Here is a 13,592-nt window from a genome sequence, read left to right on the forward strand (position 1 = left end):
ATGTATTAATATATACCAGTAAGTTTTCTTTATCTGTTTAATATGCTAAATGTAATATTTAATGATATAATTCAAATTACTCTAATACCTGAAAGTAATTTGCTTGTTTTTAAGCAAAACTTTCCCCAAAGTCTGACCAGAAGCTAAAGGGGCAGGATGGTTTACCATAGTTACGTCTCTAAAAATGGGTAATGCTATTTAGCGGCATTATTCACAATAGCCAAACGGTAGAAGCAACCAAAGTATCTATCAATGGATGAACAGATAAACAAAGTGTGGAATATACATAAAATGGATTATTATTCAGCCTTAAAAAGGAAGTTCTGACACATGCTACAACATCGATGAAACTTGAAGACCTTATGCTAAGTGAAATAAGCCAGTCACAAAAAGACACATACCTTATGATTCATTTACATCAGGTACCTAAGATAGTCAAATTCATAGAGAAAGAAAGTAAAATTGCGGTTGACAGGGGCTAGAGAGAGGAAGGAATGAAACGGGGAGTAATTGTTTAATGGATATAGAGTTTCAATTTTGCAAGACCTGAAACTCCGGAGATGGTGGTGGCAATGGTGGCACAAAAATGTAAACGTACTTAATGCCGCTGAACTGTACTCTTCAAAATGGTTAAAATGATAAGTTGTATGTTAAATTTATTTTACCATAATTACTAAAAATTATATACAAGTGTATATACATCTTTGAGAAAAATCAACTTTCTTTATAATGTGTAAATGAAATCCTAAAAAAAAATACTTAGTGCATGCTGATTATTTAGTGCAACTTGCCACCATTTGTAATACACATTTGAGTAATCAAAGAAGCTACCTCAGCTGCTCCCCTCCCACCCAGCCTGCAACCACCTAGGAGACATATTCTACTTTCAACTATCATAGATTTCTGAAGACTCGTCTGAAAGTCAAATGTATAAGAGTGGTAAGGTCGGTTTTACTCATATATCTAAAATGCTTAAAACCTCCAATTATTCTCTAAATGTCCATTTGTTTAGCAACTAGGTGCACAATGTACAAATGTTTATTGAAATAGTGCTTCTCAAATGAATATATATAATAGCTCTATATATAGAGAGCGAGCTATTTATATAATAGGTACCAAACTAACTGCTAATCAAGTCATATATCTATCTGGACTATATATAAGAAAGTTTGCTTACCAGACAAGAAGGCGATGTCTTGCATTAAGAAATGACTGATGTCCTTTATACGGAGGAGCAGATCGGTTTCTATGACAAACGAAAATAGAAGAAATGACATACATGTTAAGGTACAGCCTTACATGATTTTAGACACATGATTTCTCACTGTGTCTAAAATTATTCTGGGAGCCCCACAGGTCTGTGTCCACAGACACTGTCGATCTCTTTCCTCCTCTCAACTACATGGCAAAGAAATCACACTCGAAAATATCACTGAATAAGTAGAACCAGTGACCTACTTCTCAGAATCTATGCCCAAAACATAAACTACTCTCACTCACCAGAAAGCCAAGGACAAAGGCACAAACTCCAGGACATTCGGATTTATTTGAAGGGTAGATGGTCATGGGGAGACACTGTAGCAGATTGTCTTCTACTTCTGATAATGCCTTTCACTCTACAAAGCTTTATTAGCAATTACAAAGTGCTTTTTGGATTTTTTAATCTTATTGAATCCTTAAAAAATCTCTAAGGTAGGTACTGTTATCCCATTTTACAAGTGGTTAACCATATAGGCTTCTTAGTCTAGATAGACGTGGATTCAAATCCAGCTTGTTGCATTTACTGGCCATGCAAACGCGGGCAAGTTAGTTAGCCTCTCTAAACCTTAGTTTCCTCAGCTATAAACTGGGCATAATGATATCTACCTCACAAGGTACCATGCAAACTAAATGTGAAATACCTGGCATAATGGTAAGTGTTCAATAAAAAGTAGCATATTAACTCATTTTTTATCATTACAGATGGAACAATGTCCATGCATTGTTCAATGTGCTTTGATTGTCCCAGATCTTAAGTGTTAACTTACAATGTTCAATTCTAGTGAACTCTATAGGGGCCAAAAATCAAAGTACACTACCTGCCTCTGGTCCATGAACAAGGAAAACTTTTTAAAAGAAAACGGGTCATCAAACTAGGCTATTTTGGCTTGTCGGTTTTAATGCCTGTGGTTTCACATCTCTTACTGAAGCCATGTTTTTCACCTGCTCTCTGACACAAAGTGCCTTCAAAGTCCTGGTCTCTGGTGGTGTCAGGCTGATGATGCATTACCCTTCTCAGTGCTCCTCAAATCACACCACATGGATGTGGTTTATAAAGGACAATCCTCAAGGGAATTAAAAAAAAAAGTTCTCAATGGTTCCACAATAGACAGTGGAATAGGTTATCTGTTATAGACACCCCCCCGACACATGATTAGAAACATAAAGCAATTTTAATTGATGTTTATTTTCATAAGATACATGCCATTACAAATATCTAATTTGTCAATACATAAAGTCATTTCTTAAAAATGTCTTGTAATTTTATATATTTAGACTCGATATATTTCAGATCAAGGCATGCACATTTACACTCGCAGTTATTCTTTCCATGCTAGATGTTTAATCAGATAAAAGAATGTGTTTATAACAGCTACAAACATGTGTCACATATTGACATTTTCAGGCATGGAGCCATGGAAGAAGGGTGAGAATGAGGGTAATGCAAAAGATACAAGAACACTTTCTCCCCTGAGGAGCCTGCAAAAGTGGCAATAGTTAAAATGTGTTCTACTTTTTAAATGAGAAAGCATCAGACATAAAAATATTCCTACATAATAGGAGACCCAAATTTCTCCCTTGCTTTGATCAGTAGGAACAAGTACAAAGACGAATTGATGCATTTTATGTCAGGTGGCAGATCTGGAAGTATTAATATGAACAACTTGATTCTCTGATACCACTCAGACTCTTGCATAGCTATGGAAACTATGTCCACTTACTCTACAATTTAAGCACTCATGTAATGAGAGAGGCCTCAGGACCCAAAATAAAAGTCTGTGGGCTGGGAGTGGGAGCACCAGGGCCTAGTGTGGGCTTGACCACTTAGCTGCTCTGTAATTTTCAACAAGTCACTCCCCACTCCTCACCTCATTACCTCCATTTTATTTTATATTTCTTATCAAGGTAAAATATGCATACAAAATTTACCATTTTAAGTGTACAGTTCAGTGGTAATAAATATATTTACATTCTTTTTTCCCCTTCATCCCCTCCCCTCTACCCTTCCCAGCCTCTGGTAACCACCAATCTACTCTCTATCTTCATGAGATCCATTTTTTTAGCTCTCACATATTAGTGAGAACAAGCAGTATTTGTGTTTCTGTGTTTGGCTTACTTCATTTAACATAATTGCCACCATTTCCATTCATTTGGCTGCAAATAAGAGGATTTCATTCTGTTTTATGTATGAATAACATTCCATGGTGTATATATACCATATTTTCTTTATCCATTCATCTGTTGAATGGCACTTAGATTGAGTCCATATTTTGGCTATTGTAAATAGTGCTGCAATAAACATGGGAGTGTAAATATCTCTTCAATATATTGACTTTCTTTCTTTTGAATATGTACCCAGAGTGGAATTGTTGGATTCTATGGTAGTTCTATTTTTCGTTTTTTGCAAAACCTCCATACTGTTCTTCATAGTGGCTGTACTAGTTTACTTTCCCACCAACAGTGTGCAAGAATTCCCCTTTCCCCACACCCTCACCAGCATCTGTTATTGCCTGTCTTTTTGATACAAGCCATTTTAACTGGGGTGAGATATGTCATTGTAGTTTTGATTTCCATTTTTCTGATGATTAGTGATGTTGAACATTTTTTCATATACCTGTTGGTCATTGTTATGTCTTCTTTTGAGAAATGTCTATTCAGATCTTTTGCCCATTTTATAAATTGAATTATTTGGGTCCTTTGCTATTGAGTTGTTTGAGCTCCTTATATTTTCTGGTTACTAATCCCTTGTCAAATGGATAGTTTGCGAATATTTTCTTTCATTCTGTGAATTGTCTCCTCACTTTGTTGATTGTTTCCTTTGCTATGCAGAAGCTTTTTAGCTTGATGTGATCCCATTTGTCTATTTTTGCTGTGGTTGCCTATGCTTTTGAGGTTTTGCACAAAAAACTCTGCCCAGACCAATGTTCTGGAAAGTTTCCCCAACATTTTCATCTAGTAGTTTCATAGTTTCAGGTCTTCAATTTAAGTTCTTTAATCCATTTTGATTTGATTTTTGTGTATGGTGAGAGATAGGGATCTAGTTTCATTCTTCCACATACAGTTATCCAGTTTTTCCAGCATCATTTATTGAAAATATTTCCTTTCCCCATTGTAGATTCTTATCACTTTTGTCGAATATGACTTGGCTGTAAATGTATGGATTTACATCTGGGTTCTCTATTCTGTTCCATTGGTCTATGTGTCTGTTTTATGCCAGTATCATGCTGTTATGGTCAATACAGCTTTGTAGCAAGTTTTGAAGTTACCTAGTACAATGCCTGCAGCTTTGTTCTTTTTGGTTAGGACTGCTTTGGCCATTTCAGGTCTTTTGTGGTTCTGTATACGTTATTAGAATTTTTTACTATTTATCTGAAGCATGCCCTGGAATTTGATAGAGATTGCATCGAATCTGTAAATTTCTGTGGGTAGAATTGTCATTTTAACAATATTAATTCTTCCAATCCATGATCATGAAATATCTTTCCAATTTTGTGTGTCCTCTTCTATTTCTTTCATCAAATTTTATAGTCTTTCACTTTTTGGTTAGATTGATTCCTAGGTATTTTATATTTTTGTAGCTATTGTAAATGTGATCAGATTGCTTTCTTGATTTCTTTTACAGATTGTTTGCTGTTGGTGTATATAAATGCTACTGACTTTTGTACGTTGATTTCGTATTCTGCACCTTTACTGAATTTGTTTATCAGTTCTAAGAGTTTTTTATTATTATTATTATACTTTAAGTTCTAGGGTACAAGCGCACAACGTGCAGGTTTGTTACATATGTATACATGTGCCATGTTGGTGTGCTGCACCCATTAACTCGTTATTTACATTAGGTATTTCTCCTAATGTTATCCCTCCCCACTCCCCCTTCCCTCCACCGCACAGCAGACCCCTGTGTGTGATGTTCCCCTTCCTGTGTCCAAGTGTTCTCATAGAGTTCTAACAGTTTTTTGATGGAGTCTTTAGGTTTTTCCGGGTACAAGATCATGTCATCTACAAACAAAACTAATAAGGCTTCTTTCTTTCCAGTATGGATGCCCCTTATTTCTTTCTCTTGCCTAGTTTCTCTGGCCAGGACTTCCAGTGTTGTGCTGAATAAAAGTGGCAAAAGTGGGCATCCTTGTCTTGCTCCAGTTCTTGGACAAAAGGCCTTCAATTTTTCCACATTCAGTACAATATTAGCTGTGGTCATTACTCCCACTTTAGAAATGAGGGCAATACAGTAAATGCTGTTTTTTTTTGTTTGTTTGTTTTGTTTTTGTTTTTGTTTTGAGACGGAGTCTCGCTCTGTCACCCAGGCTGAAGTGCAGTGGCGCGATCTCGGCTCACTGCAAGCTCTGCCTCCCGGGTTGACACCATTCTCCTGCCTCAGCCTCCCGAGTAGCTGGGACTACAGGTGCCTGCCACCATACCTGGCTAATTTTTTGTGTTTTTTAGTAGAGACGGGGTTTCACCGTGTTAGCCAGGATGGTCTCGATCTCCTGACCTCGTGATCCGCCCGCCTCGGCCTCCCAAAGTGCTGGGATTACAGGCGTGAGCCACCGCACCCGGCCAGTAAATGCTTTTTAAGGTACCCTACATTCTATGAGATCCAACAACATGTAAAATCCATAGATGTAAAAACAGACTGATGTTTTCTATCATAAAATGTAGCCCACAACTGTGCCAATAAAATAACATTTCCACACTAAAGAGAAAGGATGAAATCACGGTTACAAGAGAAAATATTACTACTTTAATAAATGATCAAGTTCTGGGTTGGAAACAGACTGAAGGGGAAGAAGATAACACAGGAAAGACAACAGAAGACACACAGTTATCAATTGAGCAGCTGCAAGGGACGAGGTAAGATTGTTGCTGAGAACAAAGAGAAACAGAAAATACTGACTTTAGATAAAGTTGTGACACTGAGTTACACCCAGCTTTGTAGCTGACCCTCTCGAATTTCCACACGGATTTTTTCCTGAAATATAAAAGTGAGAACAAATAATTTATACTGTTCCTATTGCTGACCTTTTAAATGCATTCACTTAGAGCATGAGAAATAAAAAGCCTAGATCACCAAACCTGGATCAAGTCCACATTACAGCATGTTCCTTGTTGACTAGATTTACGTTTGATAGGAAGGTTGTCAAGCTGTCTCATGTAGAAAACTCAACTACTCACAGATAAAAAGGATTCATTCTCCTTACATTGGACTCGTTGCTAAGCCCAAAAAGGAGCTGACTTAGAAGCCAAATAAAGGGCTGTAACTCAACAGGTAATCTGATAAACACCCTTAAAAACACCCTACTGGAGCAAATCTTCATTTTAAGACTTCTGCTGAAAATCCATGTGCTTGTACAATCAAACACAATCAGATACAAATTGAAATCAAAAGTCAAAATAAGCATTTCCAATTAATTCATTCCTACATATGATCAAAAAGCAAAAGAGTCAAGCAAACACATCACTAATATTTATTTTATTATTTAAAAGGTAGTTGTGCCAATGAGGATACAAACTTAGAAATCCAAATATGAATTTTTAAAGTTCTAAAATGTGTGGAAATAAATAATTGATTTAGAAAGGCTCACATAGAGAAGGAAGGTATACGCATCCAATCAGTAGCTCTAGTCTGGCTGTGTCACTTGTAAAAATGCAGAACATGGATCATCTCAATACAGCATGTGCTTTAAAGTTTTTAAAGATTTATTTTGCATTCATTCACTTTTTAAACAAATATTTATTGAGTGTCTACTATATGCCAGATTCTGCTCTAAGCTGTGTTTGGACAGATGTTCTGAAAAAAAGTAAAAGTTCACAATCAAGTAAGTTTGTGAAATATTAGGGGTTAAACACACTGCAATATTTCCTAGTAAATACACATGTACACATTGTGACTCCTTGGGTATGGGCTATGTATGCAGTATTTCTCAAACCTATTGATCAGGTTTGCTCAGTCAGTTTATTGGTCGGTTGGTTGTTCATTGGTTGGTTTTTACCCTCAGAGAGAGACAGAAGACAAACAGAAAGCAAGAGAGAGAGCTAGAAAGACTCCATATGAAGAAGCACTTTGTTCTAAAGTCAGAACTGTCTGTAGATGAAATGACTTTCATGGAAGATAGACAATCCCTTTCCTATCATTAATAGCATTCAAACAAAGGCCAAGCTGCTCTGTGGTAAAGAAAAGAGAGGAAAATCAAGCATATAGTTGACTGGAATAGATTATCTTTTAGAATAAGATTTAATGGTATATTCTCAGCAACAGTAAGTGATTCTAGGAAAAGAAAGCAAAAAAAATCTATATACTCATGAATTTGGGAGGGGTCAGTAAGGGAGGCAGGAGGAACTTAGTTTTTATGTTCCAAATTTGAAATTAATAGAATTCTGAGTCATATTCATTTGTTTTGGGATTTGTTTATATTTTTTACCTTAAGAATATGTAAAAGTTCATCTTCAATGTCCAAGAGTCCTCTATAAGAAGGAAGAGATTGGGGACTTAAGTGAATATTGTTCCTTCAGTAAATTAAATTGGATTAAGCAATGTGGGTTTTTTTTTTCCCCATAATGAATGATTTCCTTGTGAAATTATTTTCAGCATGGAAATCAGTGTATGGAGATACGTTGTTAAATGCTCCAGAAAGATTATAGAAAATCTATGTAACATCCTATTGTCTCATTATGTGACAACACAGAAATTAAGTTCACAAATATAAAATAAAAATTTCCTGACAAGCAGTTATTAACAAGGAAACTTTCTTTGGTAACAGTTCAAGAAACTTGAAATTTAAGATACATTATGAGTAGTTACAAATAGAGGGTCAAAATTCTTTAAGCCTACCCTGTCAGAGTGAAGCCTCTGCTAAAAAAAGATGTGTTTTTTTTTTTTTTTTTTTTTTTTTGAGACAAGGTCTCACTCTGTTGCCCAGGCTGGAGTGCAGTGGTGTAATCTTGGCTCATTGCAACCTCCCATCTCCTGGGCTCAACCCATGCTCCAACCTCAGCCTCCCAAGTAACTGGGACTACAGGCGCACACCACTATGCCCAGCTAATTTTTCTATTTTTTGTAGAGACGGGGTGGGGGTGTCTCCCTGTGTTGTCCAGGCTGGTCTCGAACTCTGGGATCAAGTGATCCTCCCACCTTGACCTCCCAAAGTGTTGGGATTACAGATGTGAACCACCAGGCCCGGTCAAATGATCTTTTAAGAACTACTTCTGGCTGGGTGCGGTGGCTCACGCCTGTAATCCCAGCACTTTGGGAGGCCGAGGCAGGCGGATCACGAGGTCAAGAGATGGAGACTATCCTGGCCAACATGGTGAAACCCTGTCGCTGCTAAAAATACAAAAATTAGCTGGGCGTGGTGGCACGTGCCTGTAGTCCCAGCTACTCGGGAGGCCCGGCAGGAGAATTGCTTAAACCTGGGAGGCGGAGGTTGCAGTGAGGTGAGATCGTGCCACTGCACTCCAGCCTGGTGACAGAGCAAGACTTCGTCTAAAAAAAAAAATAAAAAATTTAAAAATTAAAAAAAAAACTATTTCTCTGAGAGTCTTTGCCTTCATGATTTGAGTACATATCACCATTCCAGGAATTTAAACTATACTAAGTTTATTAGTTATTCTATGGGGCTAATGATAGCTTAAAAATTAAGTAAATTGGTATCTATAAGCTTTCCCATTTTATAGAAAACATTTTTTTACTTCAGATCCCAGAGTGTAACAGCAATAATTCCAACACTTGAACTTTATTTCACAGCGACGCTCTCTCATGTCCATTTATCCAACCTCTCTGGGGTTTCTATTCATATACAATAGAAAAATATGAGTTCTGAACCAGGCTGCACACACGTGCCATGTCATCCAAGCACTACGGAGCCATAGCAAATAAACTACTTAAAAGAGGAAATGCCTCTACTCTCACATGGTTTCCTAAAAATAAATAAGAGGTAAAAACAGAGCACAAACAAATAAAAATAGAAAGGGAAATGTCAGCCAGAAAGATAGTCTCTTCCATGGCAATAAACTCATTGCCACCACCAATATGAAAACAGACTGAGAAAGTGTAGTAAATGAACAATCGCTACCATTTGCTGAGCAACTAGTATCAACCAGGCACTACACAAGGCACTTTATATGCAGTTTCTCTGGTCCTAACAACAATCCTCCAGGGTTGATATTAAAACACTTATCTTGCAGATAAGTTAACAGCCTCAGGGAGGCTACCTTTCATACTTCATTCATTCATACCATTCATACATACCATTCATTCAAACTTCTCTTATTCATTTGAAAGACTCATACTGAACAAATGCCAGGTGCCAGGCACTGTTCAGATGCAAAGTAGAATCTAGTAGGAGATTCAGCAAAGCTTTTACCATGTCATCTATCTAGTTCCCTAACCTTCAGATAGGTCATCTAAAATCTGTACTCAGAAGGTTATACCCAAATAGCTCTAATGCAAATTACTAACTAGATATGACTCCATAACCTCCCATTTTCTTCCAGGATGGGTTTCATCCCAAACTATATCAAGAATGTTTATAAACAATCTTTTGAAAGAAACTCCATTATTTTTACAGCCTGAAATTCTCAACAATGATGCTTACTTTTAGCAATGATTTCTTTGAAAGTTCCCTACTTCTGATGTGCAGGACAGATAAAATTAGGTTTTGTTTGAGTCCTAAATCCTGTGCAAGGCAGATGGGATTCTATGTGTGTATTTTTTTCCTTTCAATCTGAACATCGATACTCTATACCATCTGTAAATAGTAATGACTTAGCACATGCAATAAACTGAAATGTTGTCTTGACAAATGTTATGCTTTAAAAGGTGAAACAAATAAAAGGGTAATTCTGAAACCATCACAAAATGAATTCCCATTGGACTACAGTAAAACAATCTATGCAGTGCTTTGTTCTGCAGTAAAGGTACAATATAAAAGGCATTCATAATTCTGTGCTAACAGAATAAAACCAAGATTCATATTAAATCCTTTTCCTGCTAACACCTACTGGAGCCGCCTTCCAATCCATTGTGTAATTCAATTCAGCAAATATCCACTGGATTCTCATTTGCTCCTCTCTGCTAGGTGCTGTGGCCCATGGGAATATAAACAGAGTTCCTCACCTCACAAAGCATAAAAATTAAGAGAAGATGGAAATATATACAAACTACTGGCCATAATATAAGGCAGGGTATAGTACATGCTAGAATAGAAATATGCAATATAAAGCATGGAGAGAGGAGAAATGATTACATCTAAATTGAGGATGAGAGAAAAGGGAAGGTTTAATAGATAATGAGACATGTAAGCTGAGCCTTCAAAATTGATTAGGATTCAAATACATGGACAGGGGAACAGAGAATGTCATCCCAAGTGAAAGAAACAAGGCATCAATATAGGAGTAGGTGAAAGAATCAGGGACTTTATAGGGACTGATATGGTTTGAGTATAGAGATAGGATGATCTAGTTAAAGCTAGAAAGCAAGACCAGAAGCAGAAAGTGTAGGATCTTGCATGCTGACAGAGGAGGAAAACAGGCTTCTTGAAAGCCTCTGATTCAGCATCACTGACTTAACACAAAGATGTTGTCCAGGCAGTCAACGCCTACAACAGAATGGCAGGGATATAAGAACTGGTGGCTTCTACAGTGAATTAGCTACCAACTTTTGATATAACCTCAGGCAATTCACTGAAGATTCCCTATGACTCAGGTTTTGTACAAGCACGTATACAACAAAATGTGTGGGAAGGAGAAGGAGAAAGGAAAAGTAGGAGGAAGGCTCTCTCTTATCAGTTATAAAACTCCAAACAAAACTTGTCCTGAATACTATTCTAAGATGCTAAGTACTATTCTATTCAAATGTTAACATTTCTGAAATCTGGAGGTATCTTAGATCTGAATGCCATCATCACATTTGATTGTTTTTCATTTTTCTGTCCAAAACCCTATATTAAGTACCTTAGAGCCAAGCACATACAACTATAAAAAAAGAAAAAGAAAATTCAAAAAATAAATTCCAGTCTTTTTATAACCGACATATATATGACACATATGTATATAAATATATTTGTTGTAATAATATTAGCCATGAGTTCAACTATGTTCGAGTCATGTGAGTCCACCTCATAAACCATCTTACCTGGGATAGTCTTGGGGAACCCACTGCTCATAGTCACTTCCCCAAAGGAAAAAGTAAAACTATCTCTATTTATAAATGATGTGATCTTGTACATAAAAAACACTAAGGAATTTACACACAGACAGACAGACAGACACACAAAAGCTGTTACAACTAACAAATTCAGCAAGGGTGCAGGATACAAGGTCAAGATAGAAGAATCAATTTTATTTCTATTGTACAAAGCATAAATGGAAAACATACTCTTAAAACTATAAAATATTATTGAAAGAAATTAAATATCTGAGAAATTGAAAGCCAATCCATGTTCATATCTTGGAATATAATACTATTGAAGTAGCAATACTCCCTAAATTGATATACAGATTGAAAAGAACCCCTATAAAGATTTTAGCTCGCTTTTTTCTTACAGAAATTAACAGGTGGAACCTAAAACTCATATGGAAATACAAGGGAGCCAAATTAACCAAAACAGTCTCGAAACAAAAGGACAAAGTTAGAGAACTCACAGTTCCCGATTTCAAAGCTTAGTACAAAGCTACAATAAAAAAGACAGTGTGGTACTGACATAAGGATAGACATAAAGATCAATGGAATGGAATGGAGAGTCCAAAAAAGTAGCCCATATATTGAGGGTCAGTTGATTTTTTTGTACAAATTAATGGGGTACATGTAAAATTTTGTTACATGTATATAATGTGTAGGGATCAAAATGGTATTTAAGGTGTCCCAAGTACCCAAGTGCTTGGGTACCCAGGTACAATACATTTCTGTTAACTATAGTCACCCTACTCTACTATGAAACACTGAATTTATTCCTTCTAATTGTATGTACCCTTTTACCCACTTCTCTTCACCCTCCCCCTTCTCCAAATTCACCCTTTCAGTCTCTGTTATCTGTCTTTTCATGGTCTACTGCCATGTGATGAATTTTTTAGCTCTCACATTTAAGTAACAACATGCAATATTTACCTTTAAACCTGGTTTATTTCACTTAAAATAATGACCTACAGTTTCATCCATGTTGCTGCAAATGACATGATTTCATTTTTTATGACCAAATATTATTCCATTGTGTATATATGCCACATTTTCTTTATCCATTCATCCGTTGATGGACACTTAGGTTGATTCCATATTTTTCTATCGTGAATAATGCTGCAATAAACATGTGAGTGCAAGTATCCCTTATTCATATACTGATTTCTTTTCATTTGGGTAGATACCCAGTAGCAGGATTGCTGGATGAAATGGTAATTGTATTTTTAATTTTTTGAGAAATCTCCATGGTATTTTCCACAGTGACTGTACTAGTTTACATTTCTACCCGCAGTATATAAGAATTCCCTTTAAATACTTGTTAAATACTTGTTTTGTGGCATAAAATGTGGTCTATCCTGAAGAATGTTCCATGTGTAGATGAAAAGAATATATATCCTGCAGTTAAGGAATAGAATCTTCTGTAAGTGTCTGTTAGGTCCATTCAGTCTAATGTACAGACTTTTTCATTATTTTTTAACTTTTATTCTAGGTTTGGAGGTACATGTGAAGGTTTGTTACATAGATAAACACGTGTTGCAGGGGTTTGTTGTACATATTATTTAATCACCCAGGTTTTAAGCCCAATAGCCAATAGTTTGCTTTGTTTTTTTTTTTTTTTTGGCTCCTCTTCCTCTTCCCATCCTCCCACTCAAGCTGACCCCAATGTCTGTTGTTTCCTTCTTTGCGTTCATAAGTTCTTATCATTTAGCTCCCACTAATTTACAGTTTAAATCGAATGTTTCTTTGTTGATTTTCTGGCTAGGTGATCTGTCTAATGCTGAGAGTGGGGTGTTGAATGCCCCACTATTATTGTATTGCAGTCTATATCTCTCTTTAGATCTAGTAATATTGGCTTTATGGTCCTGGGTGCTTTAGTGTTGGGTAAATATATATTTAGAATTGTTATATCCACTTGCTGGATTGACCAATTAATTATATATAATGACCTCCTTTCTCTTTCTCCAGTTTTTGTTTTGTTTTGTTTTTTTACTGTTTGTTTTTTGGGGTGGCTTTTTTTTGTTTGTGTTTTGTTTTTTGTTTTTGTTTTTTGAGGCAGAGTCTCTCTCTGTCACCCAGGCTGGAGTGCAGTGGTGCGATTTCGGCTCACTGCAACCTCTGCCTCCCAGGTTCAAGCAATTCTCCGGCCTTAGCCTCCCAAGTA

At 36.5% G+C, this 13,592-nt stretch overlaps 1 protein-coding gene across 8 annotated transcripts in view; it reads right to left on the minus strand.

The window, feature by feature from the left end:
* Positions 1–13,592, minus strand: part of MCF2 (MCF.2 cell line derived transforming sequence) — a 126,398-nt gene that overhangs the window by 68,773 nt on the left and 44,033 nt on the right. For 7 of the 8 annotated variants that reach the window (NM_001099855.2, NM_001171876.2, XM_047442112.1 and 4 more), the window contains one exon: positions 1,178–1,246. In NM_001099855.2, the coding sequence (NP_001093325.1) occupies positions 1,178–1,202 (25 nt within the window). In that variant the 5' untranslated portion in view covers positions 1,203–1,246. Of the gene's footprint in view, positions 1–1,177; positions 1,247–6,154; positions 6,173–13,592 lie in introns of those variants that run through there. The other variant, XM_017029531.2, reaches the window with a different exon arrangement.

The sequence above is a fragment of the Homo sapiens genome, chromosome X, assembly GCF_000001405.40.
Source record: "Homo sapiens chromosome X, GRCh38.p14 Primary Assembly".
In the NCBI taxonomy this organism is placed as follows: Eukaryota; Metazoa; Chordata; class Mammalia; order Primates; family Hominidae; genus Homo; species Homo sapiens.